The sequence below is a fragment of the Homo sapiens genome, chromosome 4, assembly GCF_000001405.40.
Source record: "Homo sapiens chromosome 4, GRCh38.p14 Primary Assembly".
Lineage (NCBI taxonomy): Eukaryota > Metazoa > Chordata > Mammalia > Primates > Hominidae > Homo > Homo sapiens.
In genome coordinates, this window is record NC_000004.12 from 40599185 (window position 1) to 40624421 (window position 25237).

The 25237-nt window shown below is 44.8% G+C and overlaps 1 protein-coding gene across 29 annotated transcripts in view, besides 4 other annotated features; it reads right to left on the bottom strand.

Moving 5' to 3' along the window:
• Positions 1–25237, bottom strand: part of RBM47 (RNA binding motif protein 47) — a 207573-nt gene that overhangs the window by 175905 nt on the left and 6431 nt on the right. The window lies entirely within an intron of this gene.
• Positions 15160–15219: an enhancer, noted in NCBI's record as "active region_21493". NCBI's record gives its function as "activates an Ori minimal core promoter by ATAC-STARR-seq in GM12878 lymphoblastoid cells {active_cell/tissue: GM12878}" and the evidence as "EXISTENCE:reporter gene assay evidence [ECO:0000049][PMID:35858748]".
• Positions 19946–20473: an enhancer, noted in NCBI's record as "H3K27ac hESC enhancer chr4:40621147-40621674 (GRCh37/hg19 assembly coordinates)". NCBI's record gives its function as "activates a minimal SCP1, AML or CMV promoter by ChIP-STARR-seq in naive H9 embryonic stem cells {active_cell/tissue: H9 hESC(naive)}" and the evidence as "EXISTENCE:reporter gene assay evidence [ECO:0000049][PMID:30033119]".
• Positions 22865–22944: a silencer, noted in NCBI's record as "silent region_15380". NCBI's record gives its function as "represses an Ori minimal core promoter by ATAC-STARR-seq in GM12878 lymphoblastoid cells {active_cell/tissue: GM12878}" and the evidence as "EXISTENCE:reporter gene assay evidence [ECO:0000049][PMID:35858748]".
• Positions 24265–24314: a silencer, noted in NCBI's record as "silent region_15381". NCBI's record gives its function as "represses an Ori minimal core promoter by ATAC-STARR-seq in GM12878 lymphoblastoid cells {active_cell/tissue: GM12878}" and the evidence as "EXISTENCE:reporter gene assay evidence [ECO:0000049][PMID:35858748]".

Below are 25237 nucleotides of genomic sequence, written 5' to 3' on the forward strand. Positions count from 1 at the left end.
GAGGCGGAGGTTGCAGTGGGCCGAGATCACACCACTGGACTCCAGCCTGGGCGATAGAACAAGACTCCGTCTCAAAAAAAAAAAAAAAGAAAGAGAAGTCCCTAAAGTTCAAATGCCACAAAATAGAGAAAATAAGTTCAGCAGGATTTTCAAATCCAAATAGGTACTTACACTTACCACCCCCAACCCAGGAAAATGGAAACCCATTTAGGTTGATCCTTAGTGTGGCAGATTTAAAATGTCTGTAAACTCTCTGACACTCCTCTCATTGAGAAGTGGGATCCACTCTTTCTCCACTTGAACCTGAGTGGGCTCTGTGCCTGCTTCAACCCAGAAGTGACACTCTTCCAGCTTCCAAACCCAGGCCTGGTAGCTTTGCTGTCCTATCTCTTGGGACACTCACGCTTGGGACACTTTGAAATGTAAGAAGTCCAACCACCCAGCAGGAGAGGCCTTATGGAGAGGCCCTGAAACGTTCCTGCCAAGGTGTCAGGCATGTGAGCAAAGCCATCTTAAATCATCAAGCCTTCAGATGAGAATACAGAAATGAATTAGAAAAAAAAAAAAAATCCTCAAGCCAGACTAGCCACAAGTTGAATACTACCAACTAACCCCAGGTAATGCACATGTAGCAGAATCTCCCAGCTAAGCTCTGCCCAAATCTGGTCCAAATCATGAGATAGTAGGCACTCAGTGAATATAGGGTGGTTTGTTGTACATCAAGAGATAACTGAGCCCTTGGCATCATTCTAGAAACTACACACTAATATACCCCTACACTTTAAATTTTTGGATGAGTGCCTTTCCCACGCCAAAGGAGGAATTTTTTTTTTCTTTTCCTGAGACAAGGCCTCACTCTGTTGCCCAGGCTGGAGTCCACTGGCGCCATCATAGCTCACTGCGGCCTTGACCTCCTGGGCTCAAAGTGATCCTCCCACCTCAGCCTCCTGAGCAGCTGGGACTACAGCCATAATACCTGGCTAATTTTTTTATGAATTTTTTTTTTTTTGTAGAGACAGGGTGTTGCTGTGGTGACCAGGCTGGTCTGGAATGTGTGGTCTCAAACAATCCTCCTGTCTCTGCCTCCAAAAGTGTTGGCGTTACAGGTATAAGCCACCACAACTGGCCTAAAGAAGGGATCTTAATTGATACTATTCTTGAAAGCAGAGGCCGGGCGCGGTGGCTCAAGCCTGTAATCCCAGCACTTTGGGAGGCCAAGGCGGGCGGATCACGAGGTCAGGAGATTGAGACCATGCTGGCTAACGTGGTGAAACCCCGTCTCTACTAAAAATACAAAAAATTAGCCGGGTGTGGTGGCGGGCGCCTGTAGTCCCAGCTACTCGGGAGGCTGAGGCAGGAGAATGGCGTGAACCCGGGAGGCGGAGCTTGCAGTGAGCGGAGATCGCTCCACTGCACTCCAGCCTGGGCGACAGAGCGAGGCTCCGTCTCAAAAAAAAAGAAAAGCAAGCAGAAGTAGGCTTTATAGATGAAAGTTACAAGAAAGAAGATTTCAAGGCCGGACGCAGTGGCTCATGCTCACGCCTGTAATCCCAGCACTTTGGGAGGCCAAGGCGGGCTGATCACCTGAGGTCGGGAGTTCAAGACCAGCCTGACCAACATGGAGAAACCCGTCTCTACTGAAAATACAAAATTAGCCAGGCGTGGTGCCAGGCACCTGTAATCTCAGCTACTCAGGAGGCTGAGGGAGGAGAATCGCTTGAACCCGGGAGGCGGAGTTTGCGGTAAGCCAAGATCGCGCCACTGCACTCTAGCCTAGGCAACAAGAGTGAAACTCCGTCTCAAAAAAAAAAAAAAAAAGAAAGAAGAACATAAAAAAGATCTTCCTAGTAAGCCTTTCCAGTCACAGCCTCAAGTGCCTCACGGAAATGATGATGTAACCATCACCGTAAGAATTCAAGGCCAGGACGGAAGCAATGAAGAAGCATAGCAACTGAACCCTCCAAATACCAAATCAGGAAGACCTGAATCTGGATCTGCTTTGCTATAATTAGCTGTGTGTTTTAGGGCAAGTTGCTTAGCCTTTCTGAGTCTACTTGCTCAACTGTAAAATAGAGACACTGGTAACAGCAATCTCAGAGAACTATAAATGAGTGCCTGGCCCAAGGGAAGTTCTTGGTGCACATGCTTGTCAGATCATGACTATCGCTAATGTTGGAGAGGCATTTCTACATTGGATGGTGTGTCAAACCAGAAAGCCCCGCTGGCCCTGTCCAGATAAAAACATGCTGGATCATTCCATGACCACTCATGGAAAGTTCATGTGTGCAGAAAACTACCTGAACGCAACGGAAAAGATTTCAATGACATCTCAATCAAGTCAATGGCATTCTCTTTTTGTTAGCTTGAGGTTAATTTGTACTTAAGAGCCTTAATTATTTAAGCAGAAAAGCAGCAAAAGAACAATGGATTTAAACTGGCATGCCAAAAAAGCTTCGCTTGCTTGTTTGTTGGCTTGACGTAATTAGTTACAAGGCTTCCATTGTGGATTTATCATGTATACTGTTTGCCACTCTTCCCGCACTGGCCTCCTTCCTCTGCTCTCTGTTCCTGGAAACTACGAGTCCAACTGCCAACCCCAGGTGGCCCCAAGTTGTGGTGAAAAGAACAGGCCTTAAAGGAAATTGTTTCAGTTCAGCCACTTACTAGCCCTTCAATTTAGGGGAAATTAAGAAATCTCTCTGGGTCGGGCGTGGTGGCTCACGCCTGTAACCCCAGCACTTTGGGAGGCCAATGTGGGTGGAGAGCTTGAGGTTAGGAGTTTGAAACCAGCCTGGCCAACATGGTGAAACTCTGTCTCTACTAAAAATAGAAAAATTAGCCAAGTGTGGTGGTCGGCACCTGTAATCCCAGCTACTCAGGGGCTGAGGCAGGAGAATCGCTTGAGCCCGGGAGGTGGAGGTTGCAGTGAGTGGAGATTGTACCACTGCACCACTGCACTCCAGCCTGGGTGACAGAGCAAGACTCCATCGAGAAAAAGAAAAAGAAAAAAAAAAGATACTTCACTGTACCTTCCATTTTTCTCCTATGGAGACTGGGAATAATTAATGAACCTCATAGAGATGTTCTAAAGAGGAAACAGAATGACTCCATATGGTTTGAATGTTATAAAACAAAATGCAATTGTTAGTAGTTATTACTTTTAGAGCCAAAACGTAGAATATCGGCCGGGCGCGGTCGCTCACGCCTGTAATCCCAGCACTTTGGGAGGCCGAGGCGGGCAGATCATGAGGTCAAGATATCGAGACCATCCTGGCCAACATGGTGAAACCCCGTCTCTACTAAAAATACAAAAATTAGCTGGGCATGGTGGCGCACGCCTGTAGTCCCAGCTACTTGGGAGGCTGAGGCAGGAAAATGACTTGAACTCAGGAGGCGGAGGTTGCAGTGAGCTGAGATCACACCACTGCACTCCAGCCTGGCGACAGAGTGAGAATCCGTTTAAAAAAAAAAAAAAAAAAAGGAATATCATAAATCTCAAGACAACTAGCCAAATGGGCAATTGAGAGAAGCAGCTCAGAATCTTAGATTCATTGTTTATTTCTCTGTTTATTTTTTTATTAAGTCAGCTCTTTATTTCTTCCTGAAACAGGAAAAGTTTTTATTTTTGCAAATCACTTTTCTTCCCATTTTTTAAAATATAAACTTTTCACTGAAGTATCATATATAAATAGAAAATTCACAAGTTAAGAGAGTACCCCAGGCCAGGTGTGATGGTCCACCATGCCTGTAATCCCAGCACTTTGGGAGGCTGAAGCATGTGATTGCTTGAGCCCAGGAGTTCAAGGCTGGCCTGAGCAATATAGTCAGATCCCATCTTTAAAAAAAAATTTTTTTTGAAGAGTACTCCTCAGTCAACTTTAACAAACTGAACATAGTACTTATATAGTCAGCACCCCAGAAGTCCTACATATAGTCATCGCCCACCAAAGGTTGACTGCTCTCCTGATTTCTAACACTAGATTCATTTTGTCTGTTTTTGAACTTTATATAAAAGAGATTTTGCAGGATACACCCTGTTAGCTTCTTTCACTGAACATGGGTTTGTGGCTTTAAGCACATTTTTGCATACCATAATAGTTGTTTGTTCTCATTTTATGTAGTATCCCATTCAATGAATAAGCCACAATTTTTTAATTCATCTACTATTAATGGATATCTGAGTTGCTTCCAGTATGGGGATATTTTTAATGGTGCTATTAAGGGCATTGTTAAACTTTTCCTTTGGTGAACATATGTATAAATTTCTGTTGAGTATATAACCTAGGAGTGGAATCACTGAGTTATAATGTACATATATTTTTAGATTTAGTGACTCCTCTTTGGCACTAGGCTTCTTCTCCTCTCCTCCCTCCTCTCCTTTCCCCTCCCCTCCTCTCCTCTTCTCTCCTCTCTCTCCCTCTCTCTCTCTTTTTTTTGAGATAGGGTCTCATCCTGTCACCCAGGCTTGAGTGCAATGGCATGACCTTGGCTCACTGCAGCCTCGACCTCCAGGCTCAAGTGCTACTCCCACCTCAGCCTCACAAGTAGCTGGGATGACAGGAGCACACCACCACACCCAGCTAATTTTTGTATTTTTTGTAGAGACGGGGTTTCACCATGTTGCCCAGGCTGGTCTCGAGCTCCTGAGCTCAAGTAATCTGCCTGCCTCGGCCTCCCAAAATTCTGGGATTACAGGCGTGAGCCACACTCCCAGCCGGCACCAGGCATTTCAATCAGTGCTGATTTTATGTTCCTGTCCCTGACTCCAGGATCTCATTCCTTCATTCAGTCTCCACACAACCAACCACACCCAGCATAGTGAAAAACAGCACTGATCATGTTCATTTCAAAACATGTTTTGGGAATGCTGCGATCCATAACACCTACCATCACATTCAAGGTCTTCACCCTTTGGCCCTAACCAACCATTTATCCATTCAACAAATAATGTCCCCAACCTTGAGACACCTCACAGTCTGGTAGGGACAAACTAAACAAGTGTCTGTAATATTACACAGGACCTGGCAGAGCCAAGTTCTGGAGGGATCCAGAAGATCTGAGATGCTTTAAGAGAAGTTATTTGAGCTGGTCCTAGCAAAGGATGGATGGAAAGGAGGAAAGACAGAGTAACAACATGCTGCAATGAAAAAGCATGATGGGCTGGGTGTGGAGGCTCACACCTGTAATCCCAACACTTTGGGAGGCTAAGGCAGGAGGATCCCTTGAAGCCAGGAGTTTAAAACCAGCCTGGGCAACATAGCAAAACTCCATGTCTAAAAAATTGTTTTAAAAATTAGCCAGGCATGGTGGTACCTGCCTGTAGTCTCAGCTACTTGGGAGGCTGAGGAGGGAGGATTGCTTGAGCCTGGGAGTTAAAGGCTGCAGTGAGTGGTGATTGTGCCACTGTACTCCAGCCTGGACAACAAAGCAAGACCTTGTCTCTCTAAAAAATAAAAAATAAAAAAAAATAAGCATGATGAGTCCAGTCCAGGAATGAGAAAGACACATTTCACGATTGCCACATGGCTCTTTGTTGTTGTTGTTGTTGTTGAGACGGAGTCTCGCTCTGTCGCCCAGGCTGGAGTACAGTGGTGCAATCTCAGCTCACTGCAACCTCTGCCTCCGGGGTTCAAGCAATTCTCCTGCCTCAGCCTCCTGAGTTGCTGGGACTACAAGTGCACACCACCACGCCTGACTAATTTTTGTATTTTTAGTAGAGACGGGGTTTCACCATATTGGCCAGGCTGGCCTCGAACTCCTGACCTCGTGATCCACCCACCTCAGCCTCCCAAAGTGCTGGGATTACAGACTTGAGCCACCGCACCTGGTCTTTTGTTGTTGTTGTTGTCGTGGTTGTTAAGGAGTTTCGCTCTTGTTGCCCCGACGGGAGTGCAATGGCGCAATCTTGGCTCACTGCAACCTCCGCCTCCCAGGTTTAAGCAATTCTCCTGCCTCAGGCCCCCAAGTAGCTGGGATTACAGGCACCCGCCACCGCGCCCAGCTAATTTTTTTGTATTTTTAGTAGAGACGGGGTTTCACCATATTGGCCAGGCTGGTCTTCAACTCCTGACCTCAGGTGATCTGCCCGCCTTGGCCTCCCAAAGTGCTGGGATTACAGGCGTGAACCACTCTGCCCGGCGCGCCACATGGCTCTTACAAAAGTGCATGAGCCAGCTCTGGGGCTGGAGCACAGACTGAACCCCAGTTTTGAAGGGCCTAGTATAGTGTTCAAACCTCATTCTGTAAGCCCTGATTTCTCCATATGTATACCACACACTGCTGCTTTTAGGTGGCAAATGAGTGGAGGCATTTCATTTTCAAGGTTTGGATAATTTATATGCATATTAGAAAAATACTGGTCTTCGGCCGGGCACGGTGGCTCACGCCTGTAATCTTAGCACTTTGAGAGGCCAAGGCGGGCAGATCACCTGAGGTTAGGAGTTTGAGACCAGCCTGGCCAACATGGTGAAACCCCGTCTCTACTAAAAATACAAAAATTAGCCAGGCGAGGTGGCACACACTTGTAATCCCAGCTACTTGGGAGGCTGAGGAAGGAGAATCACTTGAACCCGAGAGGTGGAGGTTGCAGTGAGCCCAGATCGCACCACTGCACTCCAGCCTGAGCAAGGGGAGCGAGACTCCATCTTAAAAAAAAAGAAAGAAAAATACGGGTTTTCCATTTAAGAAATGAGATAGTGTTCCACTTTAAGTAAATGGATTTTAGTAAAACAAAAGTGAGTTGATTTAAAGAAAAATATTACCCAGCACTTTGGGAGGCTGAGGCAGGCGGATCACTTGAGGTCAGGAATTCGAGACCAGCCTGGCCACCACGGTGAAAGCCTTTCTCTACTTAAAAAAAAAAAAACAGCCGGGTGTGGTGGTGCACGCCTGCAATCCCAGCTACTCAGGAGGCTGAGGCAGGAGAGTCTCTTAAACCCAGGAGGTAGAGGTTGCAGTGAGCCAAGATCACGTTACTGCACTCCAGCCTGGGTGACACAGTGAGACGTCATCTCAAAAAAAAAACAAAAAAGAAAGAAAGAAAGAAAAAGAAAAATATTAAATGATGATGTAGGTGATATATAGATATGGGGAAATTGAAAAGGTAGTAGGGAAATGATTGTTACCGAGAAACTACTGTAGAGAATCAGGGAACTTCTGGGAAATGTGGTCTCGGTAAGAAAAAAAAGAAAAGAAAAACGGTGGACTAGTGGCAGTTTTTAACAAGTGAATGACATGGTCAGATCTGTCTTCCAGATGGACAGCTACTGACAGCAGAGGACACACAATCTCTGGCCTCATCCATCACTCTCTCCTGCACCCTCTTTGCCCTTTAGCCCCACCTGGACAGTTTCACCGACGGCCCGCCTGGCCCCAAGCCCCTGCTCTGCAGCACAGCTTGGTGGTTGAGAGATGAACTCTGAAGCCACACTGCCTGGATTTGGTCTCTGGCTCTCCACTTGCTGGCTGGCAACCTGGGCAAATTGCTTTACCTCTTTGTGCCTCATTTGCCATCTAGTAGGGTTGTGATGAGGACTGAGGAAGTTACTATTTGTAAAGGACTTGAAATGTGCATGGCATTCAGTAAGTACTGAGATGTAAGTACTAACATGAACATGTGTTACAAGCCTGAGCAACACAGTGACACCTCCTCTCTACTAAAAACAAAAACAAAAATAAGTTAGCCAGGCGTGGAGAGGCTGAGGTGGGAGGATCACTTGAGACCAGGAGATCGAGGCTGCAGTGAACTATTATTGTGTCACTCTACTCCAGCCTGGGCAACTGAGCAAGACCCTGTCAGAAAAAAAGCCCGCAAACATATGTGTTACTTTAAAATGATGTGTTTTATCTTCCGTAAATCACAACATCTCTTCTACGCTGTGCAAAAATCTATTTATTCAAAGTCCAGCTGAACCCAAACATCCATCAACTGATGAATGGATGAACAAAATCTGGTATGTCCGTACAATGGACTATTATATTACTCAGCCATAAAAAGGAATGAAGTATTGATAGATGCCACAACATGGATGGATCCTGAAAACATATATGCTAAGAGAAATAAGCCAGACATGAGAGGCCACATATCGTATGGTTCTATTTATGTGAGATGTCCAGACAGGCAAATCTATAGTCAAAAAGTTGATTACTGGTTGCCAGGGGATGGGAGAGAGAGAAATGAGAAGTGATTGCTTAATAGGTTTGGACTTTCTTTCTGGGATAATGAAAATATTCTGGAATAGGGCGGAGCATGGTGATTCATGCCTGTAATCCCAGCACTTTAAGAGGCTGTGGCAGGAGGATCACTTGAGCCCAGGAGTTTGAGACCAGCCTGTACAACACAGTGGGACTCCATCTCTACAAAAAATTTTAAAATTATCCAGGTATGGTGGCACACGCCTCTAATTCTAGCTATTCAGGAGGCTGCATTGGGAGGATTGCTTGAGCCTGGGAGATCGGGGCTGCAGAGAGCTGCGGTCACATCACTGCACTCTAGCCTGGGCCACAGAGTGAGACCATGTCTCAAAGTAAAATAAGAAAAAGAAAAGAAAATATTCTGGAATAGATCATGGTGGTGGTTGCACAACTTTGTGAATTACTAAAAGCCACTGCATTTTCTACTTTAAAATGGCGAATTTTCAGCCAGGCGCGGTGTCTCGTGCCTGTAATCCTAGCACTTTGGGAGGTTGAGGCGGAAAGATTGCCTGTGTTCAAGAGTTGAAGACCAGCCTGGGCAACATGGTGAAACTTCATCTCTACTAAAATACAAAAAATTGGCCAGGCATGGCAGCCTACACCTATAGACCCAGCTACTCAGCAGGCTGAGGCAGAATTGCTTAAACCAGGGAGGTGGAGGTTGCAGTGAGCTGAGATCACACCACTGCACTCCAGCCTGGGCAACAGAGCGAAACTCCATCTCCAAAAAAAAAAGGTGAATTTTCTAATTTAAAATGGTGAATTTCGCAGTACGCTAATTATATCTCAGAAAAAAAAAATCTAGCTAAAAGATCACCCTTCTTCCCCAACTGTCCCTCCTGTGGGCTCCCTGTTCAATATCACATGCCATGTTATAGTACAGTGAGTTGGACACAAGTGAGTTGTCCCCACATGAGTGTGAGCATCTGAGGGCAGGAAGAGTGTCCTGTTCACCTACAACTCCCCAGAACTCAGCAGAGCGACCAATAGGTACCAAGTAGTTGCTCCAGTAAATGCTCACTGATATAATAAGCAGAGCATTATCATTTGAGGGGAAGGCAGACTTGGAGATTAATTTATTTTCCAAAATGGGCAGGCTCTAAATTACCAACCTGGTAGCAAAGAAACAACTGCCTCTGCTCAGGGGCCCAATCCATATCGAGTATTAAGACCAAGTACGAAATAGCAATAAAAAGCCCTTTCTTTTGTCAATGAGAGTGAAACAAGCTTAGACTTGGAACTCTTTTTCTATCCTGTCAACTAGGCTTGATGATGCTGGACAAACTGCAAATCCTGAACTTAGAGACTGTTGCAGCAATAACCATTTTGACTGTGATAATATCATTCTGCTCAAGTTGGTGTTAGTAAGGCAAGTACAATCCTAAAATTCTGGCATGAAAGGCACACTCTGGGTGAGCACATGTTGTGAAGTAAATGTAAATAGCAGAAATCCCACAAACATGGAACCAATGAATGAAGTTAAATCTTATATGTACATTCCTTAGAGTTGGCCCACTCATCCTGCTGTCATTGCTGATTTGGAAAAACGAGATGACACGAAACATGTGAGCTCTCTGCAGTGTTTGGCTATGTCTCCATACCTCTTCTTTTATTTATTTATTTATTTATTTATTTGATAGAGTTTCACTCTTGTCGCCCAGGCTGGAGTGCGGTGGCATGATCTCAGCTCACTGCAGCTCCGCCTACCGGGTTCAAGTGATTCTCCTGCCTCAGCCTCCTGAGTAGCTGGGATTATAGGTGCCCACCACCACGTCCAGCTATTTTTTTGTATTTTTAGTAGAAATGGGGTTTAGCCATGTTGACCAGGCTGGTCTTAAACTCCCGACCGTGATTCACCCACCTCAGCCTCCCAAAGTGCTGGGATTACAGGTATGAGCCACCATGCCTGGCCTGCTAATTTTTTATTTTTATTTTTATTGGTTTTTTTTTTTTGAGACTGAGACTCACTCTATGGCCCACATTGGAGTGCAGTGCCACAATCTTGGCTCACGGTAACCTCCGCCTCCCAGGTTCAAGTGATTCTTGTGCCTCAGCCTCTAGAGTAAGTGGGATTACAGGCACCCGCCACCACGCCCGGCTAATTTTTGTATTTTTAGTAGAGACAGGGTTTCACCATGTTGGCCAGGCTGGTCTCGAACTCCTGACCTCAAGTGATCTGCCCGACTCAGCCTCCCAAAGTGCTGGGATTACAGGCGTGAGTCACTGCGCCCAGCCATGACCTTTTTCTTCTTTTTTAGCTTCCATTTTTCTCTGCTTTCTATAAATTATATGCTTTGCGCATGAGACAAAGTCCTTGCCATCTGGTTTCTTCCCGCCTCTTCAGCCTCATCTCTCTCTAGGTTCCGGAATCCCTCTCCAAATGGTAACTAACTACCTGCTTTTCATATCTCTGGATCTCATTTAAGGCTCATTCAAGCCAGGCGCTGTGGCTCACACCTGTAATCCCAGCATTTTGGGAGGCTGAGGAGGGCAGATCACCTGAGGTCAGGAGTTCAAGACCAGCCTGACCAACATGGAGAAACTGTCTCTACTAAAAATACAAAATTAGCCGGGTGTGGTGCCGCATGCCTGTAATCCCAGCTATTCAGGAGGCTGAGGCAGGAGAATTGCTTGAACCGGGAGGCGGAGGTTGCAGTGACCCGAGATCACGCCACTGCACTCCAGCCTGGGTGCCAAAAGTGAAACTCTGTCTCAAAATAAAAACAAACAAACAAACAAACAAAAAAACCTCATTTAAGAATCATCTCTAATTCTAGAGCCAAATCACCTGGGTTCAACTCCGAGTTCTGCCCTTACTAGCTACATAACCCTAGGCAAGTTATTTAACCTTTCTGTGCCTAGGTCTTCTGTGTATGGGGATCATAATTGTAAGTACTTCATAGTTTTCTTATGCAGATTCAATGAGTTCATCTTCGTAAAGTGTTTAGAACGGGACCAAGCACGGCCAGGCGCGGTGGCTCATGCCTGTAATCCCAGCACTTTGGGAGGCCGAGGCAGGCAGATCACAAGGTCAGGAGATGGAGACCACGGTGAAACTCCGTCTCTACTAAAAATACAAAAAATTAGCCAGGCTCGGTGGCGGGTGCCTGTAGTCCCAGCTACTCAGGAGGCTGAGGCCAGCAAATGGCGTGAACCCGGGCGGTGGAGCTTGCAGTGAGCCGAGATCGCGCCACTGCACTCCAGCCTGGGGCGACAGAGTGAGACTCCATCTCAAAAAAAAAAAAAAAAAAAAAGAACAGGACCAAGCACATAACACATGCTATGTGACATGGTTTGGCTGTGTTCCCATTCAAATCTCAACTTGAATTGTATCTCCCAGAATTCCCATGTGGTGTGGGAGGAACCCAGGGGGGAGGTAATTGAATCATGGGGGCCGGTCTTTTCCAGACTATTCTCGTGATAGTGAATAAGTGTCACCAGATCTGAGGGGTTTATGAGGGGTTTCTGCTTTCACTTCTTCCTCATTCTCTCTTGCTGCTGCCATGTAAGAAGTGCCTTTCACCCTCCCCCATGATTATGAGAGAACTCCCCAGCCATGGGGAACTGTTAAGTCCAATTAAACCTTTTTCTTCCCAGTCTCGGGTATGTTTTTATCAGCAGCATGAAAACAGACTAATACACTATGTAAATATTAAGTATGTTAAAAGTCTTATCTTTATGAGGAGTCCCCTAAACGTTTCCCTCATCCCCTGCTGTGCCTCCTCAGGTTAAACTGATGCTACCGATTCCTATCATAGCATCTAGAAAATTTCATGGGACTCATTTTTAATGCTTCAGTCTCTCTAGGTAAATGTAGGCACAAAATAAATGGTTTTCAATGAATCAATGGATGGATAAATGAATATCTCTATTCTAGAAAGCACAAAAGAGTATTTTATTTTATTTTTGCTTACGTGTCTGATTTAGTCTGTGAGCTTCTCAACAACCCAGAATACTTCTGATACATTTTGTATCTCCAATGCCTGACACAGAACCTGTATCCACTCAATGAATAAATGGCTGGAGTTGTTGCTACTCAAAAGAAAACAACAACAAAAAACCCACATAGGCCGGGCACGGTGGCTCACGCCTGTAATCCCAACACTTTGGAAGGCCACAAGGCAGGCAGATCACCTGAGGTCAGTAGTTCGAGGCTAACATGGAGAAACCCTGCCTCTACTAAAAATACAAAAAAAAAAAAATTAGCTGGGTATCGTGGCGCATGCCTGTAATCCCAGCTACCAGGAGGCTGAGGCAGGAGAATCGCTTGAACCCGGGAGGCAGAGGTTGCGGTGAGCCGAGATCGCACCATTGCACTCCAGCCTGGGCAACAAGAGCAAAACTCTGTCTCAAAAAAAACAAAAACAAAACAAAACAAAAAAAACCACCCACATAGAATCATCAAAATGAGTTTTGGAAGCAAACTTGAAATCACTATTCAAGACTTGGGCAAAACCAAAGAGCATCTGAGATTAAACTGGGACATCTTATCCAAGATATCATTGATTATATATATATAATGTATCTCCAATAAGATACATGAGAGGTGTAATAAAATAATCAAGCGTTGAGTCTTGGCCTTCCACGCAAGACTCAGGCCTCTTCAGAACAGAAGGATTAAGATGGAAATGGAATAGAATTCAAATGTTAAAAGAATGAAGGGTCAAGAGCGTTGGAATGAAGGTAAATGGGCCACCTGTAGAAGTCTGAAAGTGAGCTTTGGAGGGAAGAAAAGTAAATACTGCTTTAACAAGAAGTCCTGGGGAATCTGAATGAATTAGATCCTGATCATGGATCCATAACATGTGGATGTGGAGAATTAATGGTATCTAGGGTCCGTATCTAACTGATATTCAAGAAGTATAGTTAGATGGCCGGGTGCAGTGGCTCACGCCTGTAATCCCAGCACTTTGGAAGGCCGATGTGGGCAGATCACTTGAGGTCAGGAGTTCAAGAACAGCCTCTACTAAAAACACACACAAAAAATAGCCACGTGTAGTGGCACATGCTTGCAATCCCAGCTACTTGGGAGGCTGAGGCAAGAGAATAGCTTGAACCCAGGAGGCGGAGGTTGCAGTGAACCAAGATCGCACCACTGCACTTGCACTCCAGCCTGGGCAAGAGAGCCAGACTCTGTCTCTCAAAAAAGAAGAAGTATAGCTAGAAATTCTAAGAATGACTTTGTCTAAAATATATTCTCTGAAGTCTGCAGAAACTAGGATGAGCAGTTCTTTAATCTGATCCAACAGGGCATTTGTAGGACTTTTGTGACCTTAAATGAACTGAAATAACACAAAAGGTCATCAGAGAATGTCCAAGCTTCTCAGTACACATCATTTTCCCATTTATTAAATTTGAAGGTATCTTATATTCAGCAAAAATGAGAGCTCATTCAGCTGCATTTTATTTCCACTACAAAGAAGTCAAACCTAGAACCCATGTCAATTTGCAGAGGGATCTTCATTCACCTATGATCTTCATCCCCTAGGCTTTTGTTTCATTTCCTTTGGTTGTAATTAATTTATTATGGAAACTTAGGTAAACTCAGCTTCTCTCAGCCAGGAACAACTGCAAACACATTTATTTATCTTTCTTCCCCAAATCTACAAGACATCAAATATTGACTAAAAGGTTTCTTCAAAGGAAAGTCAGCCTGGTACACGGAGCTCATTTCTAGCCATCCTTGAATGTTTGCTGTTTTCCCAAAGCTGCTGACAGTCCAGCTATACACCAGCATGTGTTCATTTAATATAAGTGTCTCGCCATGAAGCTGAAAGCACTGTACAATGATTTTTATTTTTTTTGCTTTAAATGAAGTCAAGATACAGTCTTAATAAAACATAGGACAACTTCATTTTAACCAAACCTAAACCTTTAAACTTCAGGCATCTTTAGGTCTGAAAAGATTCTACTAACAACTTTCTCAAAGTTCAGCTTTGTCCAAAATATATAAATATCAAGAAGTCCCTCAATAAAAAAAAAGTATACCAAAACTCTGGGGATATTCTAATGACATTAGTAGCCTCGAAAGAAAAATTCTTAGAATCTGAGAAGGAAACAGTGAAGTGACTGAATCCACAAGAAAGGGAAAAATAAACTACGAAATGACTTTTCTAGCAGGCTGCTGTTAAAACACTTAACATTCCTAAGAACAGAGTTCAGTTCAACTTTTTACTGACCTTCTCCCCTCATACCTTCTTAGACCCTGCATCATCAGAAGACAGATGAGTTTAACTCATTGGTGATAAAAAACTAAAGAAAGGAATGCTGTTCATGGTGTGTAAGACAGTAGTAACAGGCCAGGTATGGTGACTCATGCTTGTAATCCCAGCACTTTGGGAGGCCAAGGCAGGAGGATTGCTTGAACCAGGAGTTCAAGACCAGCCTGGACAACATAGTGAGATCCCATGTCTTAAAAAATAAAACTTAAAAAAAAAAAAAAGGACAGTAGTGACTGTGGAGAACAGTCTAGAATTGGGTTTCTCAGCCTCAGCCCTATGGACATTTTGGGCTGGATAATTCTTTGTTTTGAGTGGTTCTCCTGGGCATTGTAGGATGTCCAGCAGTACACCTGGCCTTTACCTACTAGATGCCAGAAGCTCCCAATCCCCATCCCCACTACTGCCTCCCACATTGTGACAACCAAAAACATCTCCAGACATTACCAAATGTTCCTTGGAAGACAAAATCTAGAACCACCAGTCTGGAACCATCCTATATACTAGCAATATTCACTATCTCAGAAGGGATCTGAGAGTTAAGAATCAAATCTGTAAGAACTTTGTAAGATTTGGAACGAGCCATCTAACCCAGCATTATTTCCTTCCTGCGACTTAAAGCCAAGTAACCATCCCCCATCCACCCAACCCCCATCTTCCCTTCAACATCAAATGAACCAGCAGCCTTTTAGTGACTTGAACCATGAAAGTAAAAAGAATTAGAGAAAATTGCAGCTGTGTAAAACATAAGTCAAAGCCTAGTCCAAAATCTCCCCTCCCTTCTATCTAATTTTAAAAGAAAGGAAAGTGAAAGGCAGTGAGGAGAAGGGCCATGGCCAGGGTCAATTGTCTGAGGTGATATAAGCCAAGAACAGATCTTGTAGAAGACTGGGTCCTGGTCCAAAGACCTGGTTTTTCCAAACCTGACCTCCTTTGGGAAGCTTTACAAGAGTCTTGGCCAGGGGCAGTGGCTCACACCTGTAATTACAACACTCTGAGAGGCCAAAGGGGTAGGAACGCTTGAGCCCAGAAGTTTGAGACAAACCTGGGCAAAAGAATGAGACCCCCATCTCTACAAAAAAAAAAAAAATTAACTGAGCTGGCATACACTTGCAGTCCCAGCTACTGAGGAGGCTAAGATGGAAAGATCACTTGAGCCTAGAAGGCCAAGGCTGCAGTGAGCCTTGATCATACCACTGCACTCCAGCCTGAGCAACATGGTAAAAAGGACACTGTCACACACACATACACAAAAGAGTCTCAATTCTGACCACCATTTACCTTGGGCAAGTTACTAGATAGCGCCTCATTTCTACACATGTCAAATGAGGATAATTGTAAAACCTACTTCTCACGGGTGGTTTGTTGGTTAAATAAAATCATGGCCAGGTACAGTGACTCACACTTGTAATCCCAGCACTTTGGGAGGCTGAGGCAGAAGGATCGTTTGAACACAGGAGGTTGAAGCTGCAGTGAGGTATGATCACACCACTGAACTCCAGTCTGAGCAACAGAGCAAAACCCTGTCTCAAAAAAATAATAATAATAAAAATAAGAAACCATGCATGGCATACAGTGGGTGCTCAATAAATGTTAGTCATGGCTGGGTGGGCGTGGTGGCTCACTTGAGCTCAAGAGTTCAAGACCTGCCTGGGCAACATGGTGAAACCCTGTCTCTACAAAATATACAAAAAAAAATTGGCCAGGCATGAGGGTGTGCACCTGTGGTCCCAGCTACTTGGGAAGCCGAGGTGAGAGACTCTCTTGAACCCAGGAGGTCAAGGCTGCAGTGAGCTTAGATCACTCCACTGCACTACAGCCTGGATGACAAAAGTAAGTACTGTTCCAGGTACACCTTATACAGCTCTTCACCAAAGTTGCTTTCTTATTAAAAACAGAATTTAGCCAGATATGGTGGCTCACACCTGTAATTCCAGCACTTTTGGAGGCCAAAGCAGGTGGATCACCTGAGGTCAGGAGTTCAAGACCAGCCTGGCTAACATGGTGAAACCCCATCTCTACTAAAAATACAAAAATTAGCTGGGCATAATGGTACATGCCTGTAATCCCAGCTACTAGGGAGGCTGAGGCAGGAGAATCGCTTGAACCTGGGAGGTGGAAGTTGCAGTGAGCCAAGATCACGCCACTGCACTCCAGCCTGGGCAACAGAGTGAGACTCTGTCTCAAAATTAATTAATTAACTAATTAATTGTGAAAACTTCAGGCGCTTCATATCCTTTTGGAAACTGAACCATCTTATGCAAAACGAATAACCACACCATCTGTGGCTCAATTAAGCAATAATAAATACAATTACACCTCATGGGCTCCACTGGTGTTGACATGATATTGGAGAATAAAATGCTACAGTCACTGACAGTTTCTATAGCCACGGTTGCAAAACATTATCTGTCATAGCTTCTTCTACCTCCATCCAATTCTAAAGCTTCATGACTTTTTAAAACATCACTTCTTGGCTGGGTGCGGTGGCTCACGCTTGTAATCCCAGCACTTTGGGAGGCCGAGGCGGGCGGATCACGAGGTCAGGAGATCGAGACCATCCTGGCTAACATGGGTGAAACCCCGTCTCTACTAAAAACACAAAAAAATTAGCCGGGCATGGTGGCGGGCGCCTGTAGTCCCAGCTACTCTGGAGGCTGAGGCAGGAGAATGGCGTGAACCCGGGAGGCGGAGCTTGCAGTGAGCCGAGATCGCGCCACTGCACTCCAGCCTGGGCGACAGAGCGAGACTCTGTCTCAAAAAAAAAAAAAAGAAAAAAAAAAAATCACTTCTTTGGTCATTGCTTGAGACCAAAATCATTTTATTCCTATGAGTTTGCAAGTATATGCGCAATCATTTTTTTTAGAATAATCTCTGCTTGGGAGGTTGTAGTGTGGCGCTAAAAACAAACGGATAAAGCTTCCACCGCTATAAGCTCCAAAAGCCCTGTGTGTTGCTCACCCTCATATCCCCAGTTCGCTTTAGGTACTAGAAACTCAAAAACTCAGTTTGCTAGAGATACAAATCAGCCTTTCATTATGTGGTTTAAAATGTGCCTGTATCAGCTTTCTAATTTCCACCCACATAATATGCAGAAGAAACACAGCAGACCCTTTTTACAAAGCTTACAAAAGTTAGGTAAGAGACACACAAGAAATACATTTACGTGTTCTAATGGATCCATTTTTACAGTGTCAATATTTACAGCATGAATTTGCATGTCTCTCAGTGGTTATAACTCACAAGGAAATCCACTGTTTCATCTTATATTTTCTTTTCTTTTTTTTTTTTTTTTTTTGAGACAGAGTCTTGCTCTGTCGCCCAGGCTGGAGTGCAGTGGCGCGATCTTGGCTCACTGCAACCTCCGCCTCCCAGATTCAAGCAATTCTCCTGCCTCAGCCTCCCGAGTAGCTAGGATTACAGGCGCCCGCCACTGCGGCCAGCTAATTTTTGTATTTTTAGTAGAGACAGGATTTCACCATGTTGGCCAGGCTGGTCTCAAACTCCTGACCTCAGGTGATCCACCCGCCTCGGCCTCCCAAAGTGCTGGGATTACAGGCGTGAGACACTGCGCCTGGCCTCATCTTACATTTTCTTTTATCTTTCTCTTACTTGTTATGTGGGATGAATCTCTGTTCACACAAATTTTTGTTTTCACTATTAAATATATATGGCATTTAAGGCCAGGTGTGATGGCTCACACTTGTAATCCCAACACTTTAGAAGGCCGAGGCAGGCGGATCACAAGGTCAGGAGATGGAGACCATCCTGTCCAACATGGTGAAACCCCATCTCTACTAAAAATACAAAAAAATTAGCTGGGCATAGTGGTGCGTGCCTGTAGTCTCAGCTACTCGGGAGGCTGAGGCAGGAGAATCGCTTGAACCTGGGAGGCAGAGGTTGCAGTGAGCCAAGATCGTGCCACTGCACTCCAGCCTGGTGACAGAGTGAGACTCCATCTCAAAATAATAAATAAATATGGCATTTAATATTGTAAATTAAGTACATATACATGCTAAATATATTAAATATATTCAGTGTTAAGTATAAATATATACATGTACTTTATATTTATACTAATGTGATTGAATATTAAATATATAATATAAATATTAAAATTTTGGTAAATATATATGATTAATTTGAGTTATAAGTTTGATGACTGAAACTATACTTAAGTCTTTTTTTTAATGTTTGCCCCCAACCCCCTTTCCCCATTACAGTTTCCTATACACCCTAGATACTCGATTAGCATTATTTTGTCATTTGTGGTATAAAAGTAAAGATCACATACTTTATATTTGCCAATATGGACATAAAGAGAAACACTGAAATACAAAACAGTTGTCTAAAAGAATGTGAAGGGCCAGGCATGGTGGTTCACACCATAATCCCAGTACTTTGGGAGGCTGAGGCAAGCTGATTGCTTGAGCCCAGGAGTTTGAGACCAGCCTGGGCTACATTGCGAAACCCTGTCTCTACAAAAAATACAAAAAATTAGCCAAGCATGGTGATGCACACCCGTAATCCCAGCTACTTGTGAAGCTGAGGTGGGAGGATCACCTGAGCCCAGGGAGGTCAAGGCTACAGGGAAACATGATTGTACCACACTCCAGCCTAGGCAACAGAGCAAGACCCTCAAAAAAAAAGAAAAAAGAAAATAAAAGAAAAGAAAAAATGCTAGGCAGCCAGGCATGTGATGTGCCTGTAGTCCCAGTTACCCAGGAGGCTGAGGCAGGAGGATTGATTGCTTGAGCCCAAGATTTTACAGTGAGCAATGTCACGCCACTGCACTGCAGTCTGGTGACAGAGTGGCACCTTGTCTCTAAAAATAAAATAAAATAAGAAATACTTTTCCGAAAAATGAATGCTAGGCACTAGAGGTGTCTCCTGCTTTTGCTAGAGGCACTGGATATAAAAGGGGGAAACTTCTAGCTGGGGGTAGTGGCTCACACCTGTAATTCCAGCACTTTGGAAGGCCGAGGTGGGCAGATCACGAGGTCAGGAGGTCGAGACCAGCCTGACCAACATGGTGAAACCCCGTCTCTACTAAAAATACAAAAATAAGCCAGGCATGGTGGCGCGCGCCTGTAATCCCAGCTACTCGGGAGGCTGAGGCAGGAAAGTTGCTTGAACCTGGGAGGTAGAGGTTGCAGTCAGCCATGATCAAGCCACTGCACTCCAGCCTAGGCAACAGAGCGAGACTCCATCTCAAAAAAAAAAAAAAAAAAAAAAAAAAGGGAAACTTCCAGCATCTCCTTGGGATGTTTGAACAGGAATCTCAGTAAACACACCCAAAATTGAACTCCTGATCTCCTCTACCTGCCTCAAACTTGTTTTCCCCCAGTCTCTGCCATCACAGCCAGCAACACAGATCAGAACCCCCCATCCTCAGTCCTTCCTCCAGGCCATCACCACATCTTGCTATTTCTGCTGGCCACTGCCGGCCTCAGACTCAGACCATAACAGAGGCAGGTAGATACACAGAAGACATCCCATGCAGGCCACTGGCTCTCTCCACCAACACCAACACCCCCAAAAATCAACCCCTGGACAGGCGCAGTGGCTCACACCTGTAATGTCAACATTTTGGGAGGCCAAGATGGATGGATTATTTGAGCCCAGAAATTCAAGACCGGCCTGGGCAAAAGAGTGAGACCCTGTCTCTACAAAAAAATCAAAGAATTAGCTGAGTATGATTGTGTGCCTGTAGTCCCAGCTTCTTGGGAGGCTGAGGCAGGAGGATCACTTGAGCCCAAGACTTTAAGACTGCAGTGAGCCATGATTGCACCACTGCACTCCAGCCTGGGTCAGGGTTGTCTTTTAAGAAGTCGTCTTTAATGGCTTTCTCTTAGGCCTGGAGTAACAAAATGCAAACTCTTTTCCATGGTCTTTAGTGACCCACATGCTCTGAGTCTCAGTAATCCCCATAACCCTACCTTGTGCCCATCTCCTCCTTGCTGGGCACTTTGCACTGTTGCAAGGTCGGCCTTCTTTAAGTCCCTCAACATGCCAAGCGTTCCCAGCCTTAGGACCTTCATGAACGCTACTCCATCTAGCGAAGATGGACATCTCCCTGCCCATCAAACACCTTCAGCCCCACCTCCCTGGAGGAGCCTTCTCTGATGACCTCACCTATGGGATTCCCACCTACTATTGTGTAGTACCTGTGGGTTCCTGGTTCCTTCAGAACACTAAATCTCATCTCCACCCAACAAAGAAAGTCCCAGAGGGCGGAGAATCTTTATTCACCACTGGGTACTTCGTATCCAGTGTCCAGCACACAGTAGCTGCTCAAACAGCAGTTAAGTCTGTATCTAGGCCAAACACGGTGTCTCACGCCTGTAATCCCAACACTTCGGGAGGCCGAGGCCGCGGATCACTTGAGATCAGGAGTTTGAGTCCAGCCTGGCCAACACGGTGAAACCCTGTCTCTACCAAAAATACAAAAATTTGCCAGGCCTCATAGCTCATGCCTGTAATCCAGCTACTCGGGAGGCTGAGGCAGGAGAATCGCTTAAACCAGGGAGGCGGAGTTTGCAGTGAGCCAAGATCACACCATTGCACTCCAGCCTGGGCGATAGAGTGAGACTCAGTATGAAAAAAAAAAAAAAAAAAAAAAAAACTCTGGGCCGGGCACAGTGGCTCACACCTGTAATCCCAGCACTTTGGGAGGTCAAGGCGGGCGGATCACGAGGTCAGGAGTTCGAGACCAGCCTGGCCAACATGGTGAAACCCGTTTCTACTAAAAATACAAAAATTAGCCAGGCATGGTGGCAGGCGCCTGTAATCCCAGCTAGCCAGGAGGCTGAGGCAGGAGAATGGCTTGAGCCTGGGAGGTGGAGGTTGCAGTGAGCCGAGATCATGCCATGGCACTCCAGCCTGGGCGATAACAGCAAGACTCCATCTCAAAAAAAAACAAAAAGTCTGTATCTGGGCAAGAAAAATAAGTCCTTTCAATGTGTCTAGTTTATAAACCCATTTAATTCATATTTACTGGTTCTATATTTTAGTAAATAATTACCACCAGCTCCCTCTATATAGTATATTACCAAAGACAAGTCTAATTTAACATTTATATGCTATTCATTTTTTCTTTTCTTTAAAAAATTTTTTTTAATAGAGAAGGGTTTTCGCCATGTTGCCCAGGCTGCTTTTTAACTCCTGGGCTCAAGCAATCCACCCACCTCAGTCTCCCAAAGTGCTGGGATTACAGGCGTGAGCCACTGCACCCGGCCCCCCTATTCATTTCTAATGTCCCATTCAGTGCATATGATAAGAAATAAGATGATTTGCAGAAAGAACTATGAACATTAGCTCTTTGTTTATTAGGCATAATTTGTCTGTGTATTTTTTGAACTCCTCAACAAATTGTGATGATGTCTTCCAAATCAATTTAGAAGGAAACAAACAAAAAAAAAAAACCCAAAATCCAAATAATTCTAAATCAGCCACAAACCATGACTGACAATAGTCAGAAATAACTAAATCCAGGCTCTTCATCTACCCTCAGCAGACTTTATGTACTATTGCCTTTTTTTTACTGCAAAGAACCTTCCTGGAGTCTGTACTACCTTCAAGATGGTTTTAGGGTCCCCAAGCCTAGTAGCCACAGGATTCTAACAGCAACTGAGGAAGCCTTTTTCAGTGAATTATGGATCTAAACAAGGCAAATGAACGCAGAGAGGGAACTGTGCCTCCAAAGGCCACGAAAAGCAATTTTGCCAAACCTAGGTAATTGTCCAAAGGAGAGAACGAAGCCAGGGCTAGCAAACAAACATGACAGATCAGAGAATTGTTTTGCCACTTTGTAAAGGCAAGATCAAGTATTTGTACAAAGGTTCTGGGGAAAAATTAAAGACTCAAACAATGACTCTAGCACTTCCGTTTCATGCCAGGTCAAGACAAAAATACCTAATTGAGCTCTGCAGCTGAGAACAATCTAAATGGAATCCTGTAGCAGCAATTGGCACTTGTGGAAACCTCAAAGGTGAAAAGAGATAGTTAAGAAAATTTGTCTTGACAGTTACTTTCAGAAAATCATTAATTATAATTAAATGACAGTAGAAAAGGTGATAAACAATATAGTAACATAAGTCAGTCAAGTGTAATTATCTGTAGGGCATGCGATTCACAAAATGGTTCAAACAGAGGGCTACACATTTAGATGTAAATCACAAAAAGATTGCCAAAGAGGAGGCTTTGATTTGGAAACAGGGAAGCTCTGAAATGGGGAAGTGCTGAAACGATTGCGACATCCCCACATTTGGCCCTGCCTTGCACGTTACTTAGTCATCAGCCTCCATCAAGGACTTGTGGTGGCAGAGAAAATAAACCACAGAAAACATGGCAGCCTCCTGGGAGAGGTCTGGGAGAAAACCCATGCTCATTCAGAAAGGTATGTTCGTGGTTGTATTTCGAGTAAAACGCATTCAGTCACGCTTGAAATGTGTAAAAGCCTGTGTGTCTTATTCATTTATTCAACAAGTATTTATGGAGCACCTACTCTGTGGCAGACGCTCCTCTAATGTGCTTGGGATACACCAATGAATGAAGTAGACATTCTAGTCAGGGAGAGACAGATAATAGGTCACACAATTACATAGTATGCTACAAAGCGATAAATACCAGAGAGAAAGCAGGGTAGTGAGACAGAGGATGCGGGCAGGAAGGAGGAATTGCTGTTTTAACCTGGAGGAGGCAGAGCAAAGACTTGAAGGAGGTGAAGGAGTGAAGCATGGAGATGTCTGGGGATGATGGTTCAGGCATCGGGGCAGCCAGTGCAAAGGCCCTGTGGTATGAATGTGCTGGGCACACCCCATCAAGAAAAGGAGTGTGGTTAAAGCAGAGGAAGTAAGGATGTGTGTGGTAGCAGGCGAGGTTAAAGAGGTGATGGGACTAGAAATAAAGTCATTCACTGGCTTTTGAGTGAGATAGAGAAGCTCTAGAAAGTTTTCGGCAGGGGACTGACACGAGCTGACTTCTGTTTTAAAAAAGTCACTCTGGCCAGGTGAGGTAGCTCACACCTGCAATCCCAGCACTTTAGGAGGCCAAGGTAGGCAGCTCGCTTGAGGCCAGGAGTTCGAGACCAGCCTGGCCAACATGGTGAAACTCCATCTCTACTAAAAACACAAAAATTAGCCAGGCATGGTGGTGCATGTCTGTAATCCTAGCTACTCAGGAGGCTGAGGCAGGAGAATCACTGGAGCCTGGAAGGCAGAGGTTGCAGTGAGCTGAGATCGTGCCACTGCACTCCAGCCTGGGTGACAGAGTGAGACTCCATCTCAAAAAATAAAAGAGTCACTCTGGATACTGGGTTAAGAAAGGAGTGTGCGGGGAGAGCGGTGAGGACAAAGGTGGAAGCAGGGGAGCAGATAAGCAGATTCTGCAGACGTATCCACCCTTCCGTGACTAGCTCTAGCCAATGGAGAAAGGGCAAGACCTTTCATACATGACCAGGGTGTATGAGAACATGGGTGTTACCATTTAATTTCAGGGTCTGTGTGCCTCCTGCAGTTCCCACCGGAGAAGTGACTCCTAGGTTTCAGGCTGGGCTTGTCCGTATCATATGAGCTGGCAGTTTCTGTTTACTCATTGGCAAACTGACATATACCTTGAGGTAGATGCTGGAGCCCACAATGTGGAGCAAAAAGCAAAGGAGGTCCCTGGGCCAAACTACTGTTTGCACCAAATGGGAAGGGCTAACTTGTTATTGGATTTCTCTTTGCTCTGCAAATAGGATTTCACTAGAGGCAATTCTTCTAATACTTCTTCAGCCACCTGTCCTTCCTCATCTCTTTTCTTAGTAACTAAGAGTACACTGTCAGCCCACCAGAAAAGCCACACTGCTGTGATTCATTGATATTCACCTGATACTGCCCTTTCACTCTTGGATTTCTTGGTTGACCCTCCGTATTTTTTAGAGGTGAGATCTCACTATGTTACCCAGGCTGGAGTGCAGTGGCTAGTCACAGGCGCAATCATAACGTACTAAAGCCTTGAGCGCCTGTCATCCAGCGACGCTCCTGCCTCAGCCTCCCAAGTAGCTGGGACCACAGGCATGAACCACCACGCTCAGCTCTTCACTCTCCCTAATTTTGAGAAAACATACTTTTTTCCTTCTAGTAATGACCTAATAAGTTTTTTCTAATTACGAAAAAATGCACTTTTTTCCTCCTCATCATTGCTTATTGGCAACTCTCAGCCTTTTAAAGGATATTAAATAGCAGACAAAGAGGTATAAACTTGTTTGTTTGTTTGTTTGTTTGTTTGTTTTTTAGATGGAGTCTTGCCCTGTCAAGGCTGGAGTGCAGTGACGCAATCTCGGCTCACTGCTACCTCCGCCTCCCGATCTCAAGGGATCCTCCCACCTCAGCCTCCCTGGTAGCTGGGATTACAGGCGTGTACCACCACGCCTGGCTAATTTTTGTATTTTTTGTAGAGATGGGGTTTTGCCATGTTGCCTAGATTGTTCTCAAACTCCTGGGCTCAAGTGATCTGCATGCCTTGGTCTCCAAAAGTGCTGGGATTACGGTGTGAGTGACCAAGCCTGGCCCAGATTAATTTATTTAATCCTTATAATAACCCTGTGAGGTAGGCATTTTACAGTTGGGGAAACTGAGTCACAGAGTTTTCTTTTTTAGTTAGCCTGCCTAAAGTCACATGTAAGTGGCAGAACTAAGATTGGAACCAAGGCAGCCCATGCTCCTAGCCACTCTGCTATGGAGTGTGAATTTAGTATGAATAGCCATCCTTTCCCTAAAATCTGCATCTTTACTCTAGATAAACCCCTTTTTTTCTCACCACATGACCAAACGTTGCTGATT